The sequence below is a fragment of the Homo sapiens genome, chromosome 2 (genome assembly GCF_000001405.40).
Source record: "Homo sapiens chromosome 2, GRCh38.p14 Primary Assembly".
In the NCBI taxonomy this organism is placed as follows: Eukaryota; Metazoa; Chordata; class Mammalia; order Primates; family Hominidae; genus Homo; species Homo sapiens.
The window spans coordinates 161,905,477-161,925,048 of record NC_000002.12 but is presented as its reverse complement, the minus strand read 5'-3'; the positions used below and the strand labels follow the sequence as shown (position 1 = coordinate 161,925,048).

Below are 19,572 nucleotides of genomic sequence, written 5' to 3'. Positions count from 1 at the left end.
CCGTGTAGTTTGCTAGCTTCCACTTTCAAGACTTCTCTCCTATAAGGTATTCTTCCAAAACACCTGTAGCTCTGCCCTCCTATCATGAAAACTACACCATCCACATTTTCCTCAGCCCCACTGTCCAGTTTCCTATAACCCCATCGAAACCTGATGATATGGCTTCTCCATTCATTTTGCTTTACTACTCCCTCAAGAACATGGTCTCTGCTTTCCAAAGTGGTTATACTGTGTTAGTGAATACAATGGCATGTGTTACTCCATTCCTGGTAGTGTACTTACATTTTAACCGTGACTTTTTGAAAATGCTAAGTTAGAAATTTGATGTACCAATGTCATAGGAGAGACATTTTTTGAAGAGTTGAGTCTACAAGTGGACGTTAGTTACCTACGTGCCTCCCTGTCAAAGCTATCTCTAGGTTATGACATTACTCACCTATAAATCAATTCCAAAGTGGAAAATATGTTTTTAATATACAAGATTTATATATGACATAAATAAATAAATTCAAATTTAAAAATAAATAAGTTAAAGATTTATTTGTATTTATATATGTATAAAATCACAGATATCATGTATACCCAAGCAAATATTGTTCTTTCTTGAGTCTGCACCTCTGACATCTAAAATCTCAGCAGACAGTTCTCAGAGGCTGCCCAGTTGTGTAAGGACATTTGATATCTCCGTACCAACTCTTGGTGGCTCAAAGAAGACTTCTGACTACTTACTTCTTATGTTCTTACATATCAAAAATAGATATGCTAAATAAATCAATCAAGAAAAATGTGAGAAAAAAATCCCATTTTCCTGTCTTCCTCTGTATTGGTGAACTTATTTCTAAAACTACAAAAAGTTAAAGAAGATAAATGAAAAAGAAAAAAGAAGAAAGAAAGAGAAAAGAAACATGGAAATAGCACTGTGAGGAGATAGAATATGAGTCTGGAACAAGCTTTTTTGTTAATCTCATCAAAAATAATTTCTAGTGACTCTGGCAATAAGATGGAGTATTAATGCAAAACGTTTCTTTTGATGCATAGCATAGTGTATGCTTAGAACACTGAGGTCTCCAGCCAGGTTTCCTATGTTCATTCAAATCCAAGCATTTAGCTGAGCAACCTTGGACAAGCCATTTAATCACTCTATGTTTCAGTTTCCTTATGTATAAAGTGAAGATAATGATAATAATCAACCTCATGGGGTTATTTTTTTTTCTTTTTTTTATTATTATACTTTAAGTTTTAGGGTACATGTGCACAATGTGCAGGTTTGTTACATATGTATACATGTGCCATGTTGGTGTGCTGCACCCATTAACTCATCATTTAACATTAGGTATATCTCCTAATGCTATCCTTCCCCACTCCCCCCACCCCACAACAGGCCCCGGTGTGTGATGTTCCCCTTCCTGTGTCCATGTGTTCTCATTGTTCAATTCCCACCTGTGAGTGAGAACATGCAGTGTTTGGTTTTTTGTCCTCGCGATAGTTTGCTGAGAATGATGGTTTCCAGCTTCTGAGTTCATGTCCTTTCTAGGGGTTATTATAAAATTAAATGAATTAATATACATAAAAGTCCTAGAATGGGCCCTGACATAAGTAAATAGAGATTGTTAGGTATCTCATTTTGGTTATTTATTATTGTTACTATCACAAGCTCATAGACTGAAAAGTCCAACAATCATAAAGCAGAAAAAGGGTTGTATCTGCACTTCTCTACATGTTTAAAAACACCAGTATAAAATGCCAATAATTTTCACTTGTGGTGCTGAATTATTTGGCTTAAAATACACTTTTTATAAAATACATCTTTTAGTACCCTTTACTGCCCACAGAAAAGCAAGTGCTCTAAGCGATCTTGTTTATATAAATGGCTACAGAGTGATTACATAAACATTATAATTAAATGCCCTCATCCAGAAGTCTTTGCTTTTGTTTCAAGGCTAATGGAGGTGATCTGTCTTCCTTACACAAGAAGAGCCTGCGGCTGTCTTCTGGAAAACATAATTTGGTAGAACTCCCTTCAACATTATTACTAATTTTAGTCCTTGGGTTGCAGATGCTCTCCTTTTGCCTTTGTAGTTATTAATAGTACCTTCCTGTGTGCACTAAACAGTTATGGTTTGTGATTCATTTATTTTTCAGGTCTTTTTATTGACTTGATTATCTCCCAGAGTGCTATGTACCAAGTCAGGTATTAATACAAAACATACAATCAGAAAATCAGGATCTATCCATAGAAGCCAAATGTGTTTTTATGATTATTCTTTTTCTATTTCAGAAAGTATTTTTAATTGCAATGATAATAAAATCACACTACAGAATATTTACAAAATAAAAAAAGAAAAAGGTATCTCTCATAGTCTTTCTACCATAATTGCTACAAATTTTTGGTATACTTCTTTCAGTAGTTCTTATGTATATTTTCAACATGTTTTTATGAGCATACAATATTTTTATTCCTTTTTTACATAGCACTAGAATGCAAGCATTTTCCTATTGCTACATTACCCTTCAGAACCATTATTTGTAAGGGATACAACATAACTTATTCTTGGATTATTAATCATTTAATTAAATTGTTACTATTAAGATGACTATTTAAATAATATAGAGACAATCCTTTTATGAATACACCTATTTCCATATTTTGAGCTTATTATTTGAAGAGGTTTGCTTAGTACTTATACTTTTCTAAGATATCACTAAGTATATAACCATAATATATTATGAGGAAAATAGCTTTTCAAAAATATGCATCGTAGCTTTGTAAAACACCACCACAATTAGCTAACACTAAAAATTTAAATACTCTCTCCATTAAATTCTTAAACTTTTTCTCATCTCAAATTTATCTTCATTCAAATAGACATATCCTCTCCTTAGCCTCTAAATATATAAGTTTGGAAATATTTCTCACTGTCTTGGCATCCTATACTTTTATATGATAGCACTTACGTCATTTGTATAATGTAATTTTGTGTAATATTTAATGTCTGATTCTTTCAACAGACTATAAGTTCCATGAAGGAATCCTGTCTATGCATTCATTTTTTTTAAGCAAGCACCTGGCCCATAGCAGGCAGCCTTATGACAACTGACTGATTTAACAATTTGAAATTATTTTATACAGATTACTGTGCTAAGTCCTACTGGAGATACATAGACATATATCGTAGTCCCTACCTTTAAGGAGTTATAATCATCGCAATCATTTGCTATTATTTTTACTTTAATATGTCAGAAAGTTTATGAGCTTTAAGACAAAATGGTCCTGGGTTTACCCCCATTTACCGTTTATTGTATATGTGATATTGAGAAGATTATTTAACCTGTTGGAGCCTCAGATTGATTGTTTGTAAAGCAGGGATAATACTTGTCCCACAAGGTTCTTGTGAGGTTCAAATGAAGTCATATAGGCAAAGTTTTCATAATAGCTCCTAGAAATTAGACACTGTTCCACAATTACTTGTTGAACAAGTGAATCAATCCTGGATAATTTTTGTTTTTCATTTTTTCCATTTTTAGTTTTTTTGCTTTCTTCCCATTACCATTGTCTCAGCCAGTAGTCAGGACTTAAACATTCTATGCCTAGGGTATTGCTCCTTGCTCTGCTTCCTGTGATCACCTTCTAACCTATTGTCACATAATTCTTCCCAGAGCCTTGTCATGATCCATGATGGCCTTTGTACCAGATAAAACTTATTAGAACTTTTAAGGCTCTCTGCCAATTGGTCCCCAGAGGTCCATTCTACTCTGCGTAACTACTCTCAGATCTAGTGATGATCTGCATGTGGGAATTCACAGGTACAATGAAGAGAGAGAGAGAAAGAAACATAGGTATGCCACATACAATAAACTCATGTGGCAGGTACAACAGAAATGGAGAGATAAGTTCAGGTTTCCTTTTTCTATGAATGCTTCTGAGCTCTCCAGGGCACTCTGTTACTTCTTCTCTTAGGCCATTATACAGACACCTTGTATAGTGCTTGTTATATCACATTGCAATTATTTAACTGTGTATCCTCTAGCCTCTCTCCTCATTTATTAATTCAACAAATACTATTTGAGTGGATATCATGTCCAAAGGACATCTCCAGACACTGTCTGATAATCACTAAGGTCTTTCAGAGTAGGGACCATATTGTATTCATTTTATACCATCAGCACTGACATACACAAGGAAGATCAATGGATGTTGAAGGAATGAGCTAAGTGAGTGAATGAGTAAGCACATGTATGAACAGAACAGTAAACCTACTTATTATTCCTTGAACATTTTGCCCATTTTACTCCTGAGTTTTGTAGGTTGCTCTTTTCCTGAATTTGAAAATAAATTTTGTTACATGGAAACTAATTTGAAGAGCACCACCTCCCCCAGATTAGCTCATACTATGGTTTGTCACAGGACTTGAATTTCCCAACACAAAATTCATCTTTAGAAAGAAATTACAAAATAATGCAGGCATACAGTGCAAGTTGAACAATTCAAAATATGCAGAGAATAAAAAGTACAAGGTTTCCTTCACCAACAAGGTGAACTCTTTTGCAACCCTTTATTTTGTCCTTTAAGTACTATAAGTTTGGTATTAATACAATACTTCCAGACTTCTTATTCCCTATGTATTTTCCATATTCTTCCTACTTTTTTTTTCTTGAGTTAAGACATTGTCTCTAGAGGTTGTTCTTAGGGACTTACCCAAGGCCACTAATTGGGTTAATGTCATAGATCCCTATCCCAGCCTTTTAAGCCAAGTTATTACTGTCATGAGGTCCCCGGGGTGTCATTCTTCCAGCCAGAAGCCTTTGTGGCCAGTGGTGCCTTTGCCTGAGTTTTGCTTGGGCCCTCTGGGCTCATTCTGCCCACTAGGCCTGGCAGGTTGTGCTCAGCTCGTGCTACCAGCCTGGATCCCAGGCCTGCCAAAGGCACAGAGGTGAGGGGTGCATAAGTGAGCAAGCATATGGTCTGGCCACTGTGCACAGTCAGGCATGCTGGCTGCTGTGGTGGGGCAGGCAGTTCCAGACACTGGCACAGGAACCAGCTCTGTGCAAGGCTGTGGCTGGACCAGGCATACTGCAAGCCACTTACACTGCAGGCTCTGGGGAACGTGGTGGCACCCAGAAGCTTGGAGACACCAGGAACTGCAGAGCCCCAAAGAGGGTGTCACAGCCATGCCTCAGAGAACTCCTAGGTCTGGACTTCCTGAAGGGCTGCAGCTCTTCCCTCTTTCTGTCTTCTCTCCTCCTCACCTGCAACATGGTGAGCCAGGGGTGTGTTTCAGCCTTGTTTGTGTTACAGTTCTTTCAGTGCCACCACTTCGTGAGTCCCAAGTTCTTGTCCTACATCCAGGAAGAATGGGATATGCAGACAACTAGAGGGTGAACAAGATGAAGAGGGGCTTTATTGAGTGACAGTATAGTTCTCAGGAGGCCCAAAGTGGGTAGCTCCTACCCACAGGCAAGTCATCCCATCAAGTGTGCAGCTCTCAGCTAAGAAGAGACCAGTGAGGGTAGCTGCTTTCTGCAGGCAGGTGGTCCCATCATCTGCCTGATTCTGGCTGAGTCTGGGGTTTTTATGGGCTCCAGAGGGGAAGAAGTGTGTGCTGATTGGTCCATGGGTGGCCATGGGTGAGCAGCAAAAGTGCCATATTTCTCACTCCAGTCTGCAGAACTGGCAGCCTGGCCCCCAGGCTTCAGGCTGTCCCTGGCTTGAAGGTGAGGTTTCACTGGGGACCAGCCCCCTTTGTGCCCAGGAGCCTGTCTGCCTCCTTCTGCCATTCATTGTGCCCAGGCTGTTCGTGCTAAGGGGTGCCAGCAGGCCTGCACCAAGCCACCTTCAGCCCCACCTTGGCCTCCATCTCATGCTTGTCAGTGCACAAAGTCCAGAGAGGGCTGAGATGGCAGGGGGCTGGTGTGTCATTACTACCCCAAGTGTGTGCACACCTGGCCAGGTTGCAAGAGCACCCAGGCTTGGCCACAACTTTGCTCCAAAATCAGAGGAGGCACCCAGAGGGAGGAGAGGCCAGACAGCAGGAGCAAGTGCTTCCAAACCTATGGGGGGAGGGGGCTTTCCAGGCCCTGAGAGCACAGGGATGCCTGGGTCTGCAGCAATGGCTGGGCAGCTGCAGTTGCACCAGGGAGCGCAGGGCTCCCACCCCACCAACTCAGAAGGCGCGGGGCTTCCACCTTTTCCTGGGTCCTGCCTGCTCCACAGAGCATGCAGCTCCCCTACTGCAGCTCCCCTACTGCAGCTGGCATCTTTGCAGCAAGTAGGCGCCTCCCTACTGCAGCTGGCATCTTTGCAGCAGCCACTTCAGATGGGCCACTGCTGCCATCATTACCAAGTTTCTTAAAGGAACAAGGTGAAGTAGGCTTCAATGTGATGCAGAAAAACTCATCTCCAGCCAAGGTATTTTGCCCTCCTTGTCACATACCCATAAGTGGTGAATTTTTATAATCAAAATAAGCACTATTATGTGCTAATTAGCTCTAAAATAAGACACTATGTAACCTCATACACATAATATTATTTTAATTATGTTTTAAATCCCTCTATTCTTATATTTTTATTTCCTATTTGAAATTTAAAACTTCTAGGCCAGGTGTGGTGGCTCACATCTGTAATTCCAGAACTTGGGGAGGCCAAGGTAGGTGAATCACTTGAGGTCAGGGGTTTGAGACCAGCCTGGCTAACATGGTAAAACCCTGTCTCTACTAAAAATACAAAAATCAGCTGGGTGTGGTGGTGCATGACTATAATCTCAGGTACTCAGGAGACTAAGACAGGAGAATCACTTGAGCCCAGGAGGTGGAGGTTGCAGTGAGCTGAGATTGCACCGCTGCACGCCAGCCTGGGTGACAGAGAGAGACTCTGTCTCAAACAAAACAAATGAAAACAAAACAAACAACAAAAACACTTCTTGAAGATATTTAAGTGACCTAAGTAAAATAATAATGTATGCAAATTCTCCTATAATCTAAGTATTAATCATAAAATGAATTTGTACAAACCAGTGACCCACAACGCAGTGCAGTGTTGAGTGTTCGACAAAGCATTAGATGTCTTGGGGTTTACCTTAGCTCTTTCACTTGGGCAAGCAATAAAGCTTTCTGAGTCTCAGTTCGATTTTTAGCTCTGAGTAGAGGAGATAATCATTCAAAATTCATTCATTTGTTTAACAAATATTTATTGAACACCTACTTTGTGCCAGGAATTGATCTGGGCACTGTGAAAGCAGTAATGAAAACAGGCTAAATTCCCTACCCTAATGATCCCTTCACTCTAGAGAGGAGAGAGATAATAAATTAGATTGATAAATAAAAATACCGCTACACACCAGCACAATAGTTTGTGACAGTGAGGATGCAGAATAATTGGAATATGATTTCATATACTGATGTTAAGAATACAAAATGCTACAAGCACATTGGCAGTTTCTTTTTCTTTTCTCTTTCTTTCTTTTTTTTTTTTTTTTAGACAGGGTCTCCCTCTTTTGTCCAGGCTGGAGTGCAGTGGTGCATGCAATCACAGCTCACTGCAGCCTCCACCTCAGGGGTTCAAGGCAGTTTCCTATAAAGTTAAACATACACTTTTTATGTAACCTAGCAATCTTGTTTCTAGGTATCTACAACTATCTAACTATCTACACTATCTAACTATCCACACTAACTATCTACACTATCTACACTATCTAACTATCAGAGAAAGTTAAAACAGTCCAAATAAAGACCTGCATGTGAAGCAAGATAGCCCCAAGCCAGAAGTAACCCAGATGTCCGTTCATTTGTGATTGGACAAATGAATTGTGGAACATCCATATAGTAGAACACTACCTGGCAAGAAAAAGGAATAAATTGATACATGCAACAAAATCAGTGAATCTCAAAAGCATTATGGTAAGTGAAAGAAGGCAGGCATACTCTGTGGTTCCATTTATGTAAAATTCTAGGAAAGGCAAAACTTTAGAAATGTAAGTCATATCAGTGGTTGCCAGGAGGTGGGGATGAAAGATTGACTGCAAAGGAGCACAAGGAAACATTTTTGGGAAATGTACTATACATTGATTATGGTAGTATTTATTTGCCAAAACTCACTTAAGGGCATACTTCAAAGTGGTAAATTTTATTGTATATAAATGATCCTTCAATAATTTTTACTTTAAAAAGATAAGTAAATTATATACGGTAGGCGAGACAGAGAGAAGGGAGTTGAACATTTCACAGAAAGTTCTCGAGTAGGTGATTTTGAAGGAAGTGAAAGAAGCCACATAAGTATCTGGCAGAAACATTCCAAGCCAAAAAATATTTTTAAAAAGACAGTGTGAAGGGCTAGAGGCAGAAACATGCCAAATGTGTTTACAGAAGGGCCAGGAAATCATATTGGTGTGGCTGGAGCAGAAGGGCAAAGTAGCAGGAGGAGAGAGAAGAGAGGCACTGGGGAACAGATGAAGCCATACCTTAAAGGTCACAGAAGCCCTTTGGCTTTGGCACAAAGCCATCAGTGGGCTTTGAGAAGCAGAGTGACATGACCTGACTTGAGTTTTGAAGGAATAATTCTTGCTGCTTCATAGAGAACAGTCTGTGGAAGAGTACGCATAAAATTAAAGACACCAGCTAGAAGGCAATTGCAATAATCTAGACAAGAGTTTACAGAGGTAGAGAGAGTGAAGATAAGTGTTTGTATTCTATATAGAGAATTTGCTAGGAAATCTGGATGTGTGAAAAAGGGAATAGACAAGAATAAATCCATGATTTTTTAGTCTGAGCAGCTGAAAGGATGGGATTGTCATTTACTGAGGGGGAAAGAGTTGCAAGAGTTTGCCCATAACTTCAAACATAAATGGACTAAAATACAAACATTTATTCAATGTATTAGTTTGCTATGCCTGCCACAACAAGATACCACAGACTGGCTGGCTTAAAAACTGAAATTTATTTTCTCACAGTTCTGGAAACTGGAAGTCCAAGATCAAGGTGCCAACAGGGTTGGTCTCCTCTGAGTCCTCTCTTCTTAGCTTACAGATGGCCACTCCCTTGCTGTGTCCTCACATGGTCTCTTCTATAAGTTTGGAAATATTTCTCACTCTCTTGGCATCATATACCTTTATATGATAGCACTTAGGTCAACTATAATTAAATGTACATTCCTAGTGTCTCTTTGTGTGTCCAAATTTTCTCCTCTTATACTGACACCAAAAAGATTAGATTAGGACCCCTCTCTCCCATATTGAAGCAGGATATTTTCTTTCTCCCTTCACAGGACTTGTGACAAGGTGCCCCATTTACTCAGCCCACCCTGCTCAACCCTTGCAGGAGGGAGTGCATGAGTGAATGAGTGTGGGAACCAGAACAAGCAAGTGCAGGAACTGGCTGGTTGCTTTAGAGCCTGCAAGAGGAAACTCTGTGTAGGCTCTGTGGCAGTGTCCAGGTGGGGGTGCCTGTGACCCCAAGGACCCAGAGGGCATGTTACAATGCTCTCTTATCTCCACCATCCACAGACAGCAGTGTGTTATCAGCTAGGTCCTTTGCCTCATCGTATGGGGAAGCTGCTCACCATCAGTGAGAGCAATGGGCCAGTGTGATGGCCTGTTTGAGTACCAAAATTTTGAGTTATCAGGCACAAAAGTTTTGAAAAGTTTCATTCAAAACTCAAGTCATGTAATTCACTTGGCATGTTGTGAATTCTTTTCCAGTGCCCAAGAGGAATGAGGTCACATGGACAAATTGAAGGATGGTGAATGCAAAGAATTTTATTGAGCAATGAAAGCAGCTCTTAGCGGACGGGGAGATGGAAAGGGGACAGGAAGGGCAGGTTGCTCTCCCCTGAAGTCAAGCTGCTTCTCTGCCTCTCTCTTCTGAAGTCAAGTTGCCTCTTTCCAATGTCCAGCCACCATCTCTGAAGTCAAGTTGCCTCTCCCTGACGTCTAGCTGCTTCTCCTCTCTACTGGCTGAGTCTGGGGTCTTTATAGGCACAGGATAAGGTGTTGGGTGGGCCTTAGGTAGTTTTGGAAAAGGCAACATTTGATTGGTAAAAAAGATATTATTCAGAAAGAACCAATCGGAAGAGAACAGGCACACAGGGATGGAAGTTACCACTTTGGGCTGCGGGTTTCAGGCTTTTTGGCTCGAAAGTGGGGTTTTGCCAGGGACTCACCCCTGTCTGCCTAGAATTTCTCTGACTCCTGTTACTATCGATATGACTTCATTTAATCTTAATCATTTTTTAAAAAGTCCTGTCTCCAAATACAGTCACATTCTGAGGTACTGAGGGTTAGAGCCTCAACAGAGAAATTTGGGAGGGGCACAATTCAGCCTATAACATTGAGTCATATCATTTCAGAGTGAGGAGAAATATTCCTGCTAGCTCCCCAAAATCTGCTTTTATAATAAAAAAAAAAATCTTCCATGAGTACTTCATTCATTTAGATATCAAAATGCAAAATTTGGGGAAGAGATAAAATTAGCCTCCTATTGATCATCTTTAGAACAAGTTTTATAGACCATGAAGATACCAGTTACATTTGTAATGAAGAGAGAAGTGATATATTATAGTAGGGGGAGTTGAAGCAGAAGGACTGGCCTGTACACAAACCTCTTTGAGCCTGGCCATGAGTGTTTCTTTACAGAACATGTTTCGTGACCCTTCTCATAATATTTAAACAGTCTTGTAGAGAGAGAATTAATAATGATAGTTTTTTTGGTGGGGTGGGGGTTATATAAAAACTGTCTTGCCTAAAACTGAGAGCTATGAGCACAGAATGTTTTCATAAATTAAACTTTTCTTTTTCAGAGTTGTATTTATACTTCTTCACTTGATATTTTCCAGTATGTTAAATAATAAATGTAAAATGCATAAGCTGAACACCTTGTATTATCAAGATTGCACATATAAGTAGAAAAATGTGCTGAGCTGACCAAATTTGGCTAGGTCTATACATACTTAGTAAGAATAGTGTTCAGGGTGATTAACATATTAATTTATATAGTTAAAGGGAAATGTTTCTTCCACTTCCATTAGCAATGTCTCTAAGCATTCATTTAGCATGACTAATGCTATAAAGTATGTAGCAATGACACTTACATCATCCAGCAGAGTAGAGATGAATGAATGACTAATGTATCAACATTTTACATGAACAAGAATAATTTAATGAAAATTATCCAATAGAAGTGGCAGATATCCTATGTAAAATTATCAAATCATATACAAAGTGTCAAGGCCAGCATTACATTAATCTCATAAAGATCCCATAACAATATGACCAACAGGTGAGAAGAAGTTGAGTGGAAGAAAGAGATCACACCATCTACTTCGAAAAAGCATTACATTGAAGACAAAAAAGGGTTCTACTCTTCACTATAATTCATTTGGTTACTGGTAGGTCAGAAGTCATAACTTGTTCTATAAAATAGATCTTATCTGCTCCAGAAGATTTTAGTAAATGTAAAGAGAAATATTCAGAGGGACTTTGAAAAGACAACGTGCTACTTTCTCTGGAATTAAAACTTTGGTGAAGTATGAACTAATTTTAACTGATGTTTTAGAAACTGAAATTGCAACATAGTTATAAGAGCAAAGGTTCACAATTTTTTATAGCTATTGTATTTCTGTCTATTCTGTCAAGTGGCTTTATTATTTATTATATTTTTCATTTAGAATGGTTATTAAGGATATAAAAAGCCAGTAAATTTTTGGAAGAACTTTTTATTATGAAAAACAACTCTTTAAACTCTTTAAACTACTGCTTTTCAATGATGGTATGTGTATTAGTGGTTGAGAAACAGTGCTTTAAAGACATTTTAAAGTTCTAGAACTTGGAAGAAATATTAAGAAGCTGGATGATGTCACAGACTACAGGTAAATTATACTCCAGTGTGTCTCAGAAAGGCAAAGATGAGGTATACTATTTTTTCAGTTACATAGACATACATATATAGTAAACATTTATTGGGAAATATGGGCAAAGCACTTCCTATAATCTGTTTCATTAGCTCACTGAAGTTCCAGCTCTCCTGTTTTTGATACTTTGACTTCATCTTGCATGAAAGATTTACTCAAGGATGATGTGACAGTATTCCATAAGCAGGATTCTGGTATCGTTTTAGCGACATCAGGCACAAAAATAGCTGGACATAGGATCAGTTATGAATTAAGCCTTAGAATATCTCTAGGACTTGAGACTATGTGATTCACTTTCTAGATTCTTATATCCTCTTCTGGCAAAACTAGAGAGGCCACAGTCAATCCACATATCCTGAGTACATTTAATTTTACCAATGCATTTCAGTACACTGATTAACAAGTCAGTGATATTGCCCATGAAAATCCATTTCTGACATTCAGCAAAGCATCAGTGTTGACTGAGACATGGCTAATAGTCTCAGGGTTTGTAGTAGCCTTTTCTGGAGTGTAGTCTCTCTACTTTAATGCTAGCTGACCACTCCTAGAGCTAGGACTCCTGATCAGAATACTAGCTGCCCATGGTTGTAACTTGACCTAACATACACATATTACCACAGTGTCTGTGGTGAGGTATTTTAATATAAGTTAAAACATTACTATATTCCACTTAAAATATTTCAGAATATATCCTTGAATCTAGGTCAGTTCAGGAAGCAAACAGAAATGGGGTCAGCACTTCAAAGATTGTGAACTCCTTGAGAACACTCATCACATCTCACCAAAACATAGCCACATAACTATTTAAACTTCTTTAAAGGAAGAAACCAAGAAACCACTGTTACCTGCTTAGCACTCGCCCTCTGATATTGAGTTCTTATGTAAATAGCTGCCTTTTTATACCTATTTGACAAGAAAGTGTGAAAGATAATTCCATTTAAGATCTGAAAGTAGATACGAAGAGTAACATAGTTGAAAGACACTTAATAAAGCTTTACTACTATCTGCCAATCCCTTAGCTCTCTGTAGGTAGAAAGATAAACACAAATTCTGTTCAAAAAGGCTCATAATTCATTAGGGACAGTGAGAATGAAAGAGGTAAATAATGAACTATTATACTGGATACTACTGCTACTGGAAACGAGACTTTATCATTAAAATAATTTACTTTAAAAGCAGGAACAGAAAACAAGGATAGCAAGTGTTTGGATCAAGAATCAAGAATGAGGTGAGGAGTTGCTAAAAGTTTATTTATTGAATAAATAATTTATTGAGTGCCTACTATTATATTTATTTTAATCTAAGATGTCAAACAATCTAGCTTTTTAGGGGGGAAACTATATGTGAAATGTGCCCATCAGTTGTGAGAAGCATTTTCAGAAATGTAAAAATATGAATAAACATGTTCATACAATATGTGCCAAGCACTTTGCTAGGTACAGTAGGTACATAGATCTGCCTAATAGCCATGATTTACCATTATGAAGATTAATCTAGTGAAGGTACACAAATAAAGTAAACACCTAAAAATATAATTGTCATGTTATGTTGCAAGCAATTCTGGATAAATCTAGTCAAGTGTATACGTCGCAAAAAATGTGATTTAAAAAGGTTGAAACAGATAGTTCTCTAAATCTGTTTTATTCGCTATTTTTTGACTAGTGAGTACTAAAAGGTTTATGCAGTATGATTACTCTGTTTCATCTTGTTTCTCCCCACATCTATCACCCTTGGGAGTTCCGCTATAAATTGCACTCCAGTTTCTCTTGCCTTTTTTTTCAGATGATTTCTCCACAATGTTGGCACCCTGTCTAAATTTTCAATCATCATTAGTTTTATGAATTCAAATTTATATACCTTTATTGCATATTAACAATTTCATAATGTGTCAAATTTATCCCAAACTTCTAGCTAAAATCTTTAAGAGTGCTGTTAAAGATAATGTAAACAAGCACTATTTTCTTTACTTAGCGAACAAGATTGGCCGAGTAATGTCAATTATTTTGCAACATGTTCCATTAATCAGTATACATTAAGTATCACTTAATGTATACTTAACTTACCATTATCATTAAGTGATACTTAATGTATGTTTATTTACATATTTTATTTTTTACATATTTTAAATATTTTAAACATATTTTAAATGTTTATTTACATATTAAGTGATACTTAATGTATGTTTATTTACATATTTACAATATTATGCTGGGACTACGGGAGATAAAATTAGGGACCGTGAGAATGAAATTCTCATTGTTAAATGTTTTCTACTTTAAAGGAGGTTCAAATCTAGTCGAGAAGATGAGAGAGAGGATACTCTTCTGCATGTCAGTCAGTAAATAACATTTATTCAAAACAGATCACTACTTTGGGTTATGTACAGGGCTGGGTGCTAGATAAACAAAAAAGAGAAAAAGAAAATAAAAAAATTTCTCATAACCTGCTGGTGAGAACACTCCTTCAACAGCTTGGTAATCATTATATTTTATTTCACTCTAGCCTACATATATATCAGAAACTAGAGAGATAATCAGACCCTACACACTGCTTTGACCCAATCGATTACAAAACATTAATAAATACATGCTCAATTTTTCTTTAGCTAGTTGTCTTTCAAAACTTTATTATTCCCAAAACTTAAAGAAACATTTCATCTTATACAAGCAAAACATTTCATTCTATTTTTGCCATTTCTTAAAATCAAAGCAACCAAGAAAAGATTATTCCCATAAACTTGTTTTTTATTGCTAACTTGGCATATTCAGCTTGATCGTCTGGTGCAATGTATGTATTCTCAAAACTAAATAGATGATCTTGACACTTGATCTTGGCATAATGAAAGAAAAGCTTATATTTTCAAATATAAGGTCTGTATATTACCATATTATAAGGTTAGGATGACAGAGTAGCTAGATATATCTTTAAAAAGTCAAAGACATCTTGTTATTTGGTTGATACACTATGAATTTAAGGAAATCTGATTGTAGGAGGCTAAGTATAAAAAATCTGAAATATAGATCCTAAACATGATGACTTTTTTCAAATATCTTATACCCAAACAAATATGCACATTATAGGCATATTGTTTGCAAAGGTTGCAATCTCAGATATATTATGTTCTAGCTATAACATTTTCTAGGAATTTTTCTAATGAACCTGCATAGTACCTTATAATAAATATGAGACCAGCAACATCTAAAGTAGAAAACTTTAGGTGGACATTGTTATAAATGACACTGATTCAGTGTGAAAAGGTCACAGTAACAAGAAAGCCACTAAAAGTGTCATCTGGACTTCATGAGAATTCACCAAAGTAAATGTTTTGTGCAAAAGTATGAGATTATAAAATACATTAAAATAGCAGTAATTAGCAATAACTTATTTTCATTAATGAACATAACTAAAAGTACACTAGTAAATATATGCGTTCTATGCATAGCAAAAAAAAGATTGATTTTGCTACTCCAAGGAGCAAGTGATAGAAATACCTAATCAGATTCATGTACACAGTGTAAGTGGCACTGGAAGCCAATCAAGGCTTAACAACTGGAGTGAAGAACCAGTGCAGTGAGGAAATCTAGTCAGACCCCATTTCCCATGAGACTGTCATTGTTTCTGTCACACACACCCATTTCAGGTGCCAGGTGGCACTAAAACCTCATGCCCATAAGGATGAACCAGTCGTTCCATCCCTTCTATTTCCCTAACCTGGGTTGAGAAGGGCACTTGGGCAATGGAACACAGTCATCAGCACACATTCATGTTCAGCCTTGAAAGAATTAGGTTTTAGATGCTCACATTGATCCAAGGAAAACTTAAACATGCGGGATCACTTTTTAAAAAACAGAGATGGAAATGTGGAGAAAGTCAGGACCTCTGTCACTCCTCTTTTTTTTTATATATTTAATTTTATTGTTATTATACTTTAAGTTTTAGGGTACATGTACACAATGTGCAGGTTTGTTACATATGTATACATGTGCCATGTTGGTGTGCTGCACCCATTAACTCATCATTTAGCATTAGGTATATCTCCTAATGCTATCCCTCCCCCCTCCCCCCACCCCACAACAGTCCCCAGTGTGTGATGTTCCCCTTCCTGTGTCCATGTGTTCTCATTGTTCAATTCCCACCTATGTCACTCCTCTTTTGATCACCATGACAGACAGGGATCATGGCCACATAAAGCTATTTTAGCTTTCAAATTACCCTTTGAGCATTTGTCTTACTTAATCCCTTGATCTTATCATTTTTTGACTCCTGGGAGGTTGCAATCCCATGTTTATCTACTCTTTTCATCATTGCTGCCTTCCTTTCCTCAGTCTCTATTCTCCCATTTTCAAACACACATAGTCCTTCTCTGTCACAAATTATCAATCTTACGATTTCATTGCCCTCCTCAAAAGGCATTCTGTTTCCCACTTTCTTTGACACCAACTGGCCTATGCAGCTTTCTCCATTTCTTTACCACCCACTTCCTTGTTAGTTTTTGCAAACTGGCTTCCCATTCTGCCTCCTTTCCCAACCCAATACCAGTTGTTTTTTTTTTTTAATTTTATTATTATTATACTTTAAGTTTTAGGGTACATGTGCACAACGTGCAGGTTTGTTACATATGTATACATGTGCCATGTTGGTGTGCTGCACCCATCAACTCGTCATTTAGCATTAGGTATATCTCCTAATGCTATCCCTCCCCCCTCCCCCCACCCCACAACAGTCCCCAGTGTGTGATGTTCCCCTTCCTGTGTCCATGTGTTCTCATTGTTCAGTTCCCACCTATGAATGAGAACATGCGGTGTTTGGTTTTTTGTCCTTGCAATAGTTTGCTGAGAATTTTTTAAAGCTACCAGGTATCTCTTTTCAAACACTTTTCCTTATTCTGTTTGATGTCCATGCCACTGTCCTCTCTAAAGACTTTGTGATACATTTCTTGTTTCTTGCCTTCTGCGACCTGACATTATCCATAGTTTCCTCTTTTTCTGATGCTTCTTTCTTATTTTTATTTATTTATTTTTTGCCTATTGGTTGCATTTTTCTCATTCTACTTTAGAGCTGTGAAAATTGTTCAGGGCTCAGACCTTGCTTTTCCAATCTTTTTCCTTTCTAGACCAAGGGACTTTAAACTATGTTCCTCAGTCTGAAGTACCTAAGAAGCTACCATGAAGGTTCAAAGAACAGCTGAGAGGGTAGGCAATGGGTGCCTTCCTACCACTTGAAACAGAATAGTTCTGATTTTACCTGTTTTATTTGTTTTACATAGTTTCTTTTGGAGAGTTTATCTGTATTCATCAGTGTACTGAAAATTATATCAGTAATAAAACCTGGATTCCATTTCTTGTTTTACCACTATCTATATAACTTCAGACAAATATTTTAAAGCATGAATGCATCTCTTGCATCTAGTCCTGTGAATGCCCTTTGACTGAACTACTTTTCTGCCCTATTCCTTAGCACCTTCCTAACTTCTACTGCATTTTTATTCTACATTATTTCCTCCAGGAAGCCTTCTCTGAACCTCAAATCTGGGTTAGGTGCTCTCCTGATGTGCTGCTATAGCATTCTGTACCAACCTCTTAACCCGGCACTCATTTCCTTATGCTGTCTGTTTATCTACATTCCCTACTAAACTGGAAGCTCACTGAGGACAGAATATGATTCACCATGGTTTTCCTAGCACCTAGTATAGTGCCTGGCATGTAGTAGATTTGAAAATCCAACCAGAGATAATTACATATCCCAGCAAGGATATCCAAATTCAGTGAGATTCTCTTTCAGGTAAGGATAAATGAAAAGGCGTGTATCAATGTTATCCCTGGTTTTGATCAAACTGTTCTTCCCATTTGCCTGTTTTCTGAGTGTCCCTGACACCTATGCTCAGTCCTTTCTTAGCCCTGTTTACAATATTCTCACTATTTGCTTTTAATGGGAAAATTATTTTATATTTCCACTTTGATTTTTCTTGTTCAAAAATAGGGGTCAGTTGTTTAAAGTTATCTCTAAATATAATATAAAAGTGAAAGTACTAAAACTCACATTATTTTCAACATAATATCATTTCGTGATTCTTTTTTTTTTTTTTTTTTTTTTTTTTGAGACGGAGTCTCGCTCTGTCGCCCAGGCTGGAGTGCAGTGGCGCGATCTCAGCTCACTGCAAGCTCCGCCTCCCGGGTTCACGCCATTCTCCTGCCTCAGCCTCCCGCGTAGCTGGGACTACAGGCGCCCGCCACCACGCCTGGCTAATTTTTTTGTGTTTTTTAGTAGAGACGGGGTTTCACTGTGTTAGCCAGGATGGTCTCGATCTCCTGACCTCGTGATCCGCCCGCCTCGGCCTCCCAACATTTCGTCATTCTTAACAAAATTATAACATTGCACTATTTTGGTCTGATTTCAACAATTTAAACTTCTGATAGTAAATAAAGATTAAAAAATATTAAAAGGGTTCAAGGCCATATCTAAGCAGTTTATAGGGAAATGATTGGTGGTTGATGCAGAGATTATAACTGTCTCCTAAAGAACATATTGCTTCAGATATTTGCAGTATAAAAAACTGCATATAAGCACAATAAAAAATTCTACAATTAAATAATGGGGTCATTTAATGGCCACATATAGTCTGCAGACAAAGCCTTAGAGACATTTCAGACTGTTGATACACCAAAACTAGAAAAAGCAATAGATCCAATCACATCTTCAATCCCGGACTGTAACATCAACTTCAACAACTAATATCTGAGTATTTCCATCAAAATGTCACAAGTGCCAAAACCAAAATTAAATTTTCATTCAGTGATTTATGTTTTTACCACACTTTCAAACATCTACTAAGATTTAGACCCAATAAGTTTATTTTACCTTATTGCTCTAAATTTGAAATCTTATATTTTCATTACTATGTTTCTTTGGATTATTGTAAATTAAAAAGACCCTGAAATAACGCCAAATAACATATATTTCGCTAAGGTAAAATTCGTGTATATTAAAATGGAATTGGTTCCTTATCTACTTATTTTAGAGAACACTGGACAAATAGAACTTTAAAAAGATACTCTTGGCAGAGATGGTATAATGAGAATGCAAGTAGCAGATGAGTGGCCGATTAAATAACTTTTAAAATCCTGTTCGACTCTGAGAGTCAGGATTTAGGTCATGAATCAACTTAAGGCACATTCTCTGCTGAGTAATTTCCTCATATTTCTTGTAACAATAGCAATATTTGTCAAAAGAAAAGCCCCAAGGCCAGCAGGGGAAATGGTACTTACGAGTATTGTGTCAGCAGTTCCAGATCATTATGCATGTTGATTGGATATGCTTCACTGAGTTCAAACAACTTCTCCAGGGCCTCATAAATGAAAATGATGCAAATCAGGGAAGCAAAAGCTTCTTCAGTAAACCGAGTGATGTAGCAGACAAGGGAACTAGCATCTGTGGCCACAAGTATGATACATAGAGTTGCAGTCCAAAGTCCAATGCTAGCTCTTAAAGATAGGTATGACAGCCCATATTCTCTGGGAGGAGGAAAAGGAAAGAACAGTGAAAAGAAGGTCATTTAACAGCTTGCTATCATTTTAAGCAAATGAAAATAAACCTCATTCAGGAAGTGAAAGTAAATAAGCTTCACATCCCATGAGTATCTAAACTCAAGACTGTCTAAAGCAGGGGTCCCCAACCCC

The 19,572-nt window shown here is 37.7% G+C and overlaps 1 protein-coding gene and 1 long non-coding RNA gene across 29 annotated transcripts in view; one reads left to right on the top strand and one right to left on the bottom strand.

Moving 5' to 3' along the window:
* SLC4A10 (solute carrier family 4 member 10) overlaps window positions 1-19,572 on the bottom strand; it is a 360,855-nt gene that overhangs the window by 60,222 nt on the left and 281,061 nt on the right. For all 27 annotated transcript variants that reach the window (NM_001354461.2, NM_001354447.2, NM_001354441.2 and 24 more), the window contains one exon: window positions 19,162-19,407. In NM_001354461.2, the coding sequence (NP_001341390.1) occupies window positions 19,162-19,407 (246 nt within the window). The remainder of the gene's footprint in view (window positions 1-19,161; window positions 19,408-19,572) is intronic.
* LOC105373722 (uncharacterized) overlaps window positions 11,860-19,572 on the top strand; it is a 29,568-nt gene continuing 21,855 nt past the window's right edge. Inside the window, exons 1-2 of one of the 2 annotated variants that reach the window (XR_001739758.2) lie at window positions 11,860-11,895; window positions 13,076-13,124. This is a non-coding gene — a long non-coding RNA (uncharacterized LOC105373722). Of the gene's footprint in view, window positions 11,896-13,072; window positions 13,125-19,572 lie in introns of both variants that reach the window. The other variant, XR_001739757.2, reaches the window with a different exon arrangement.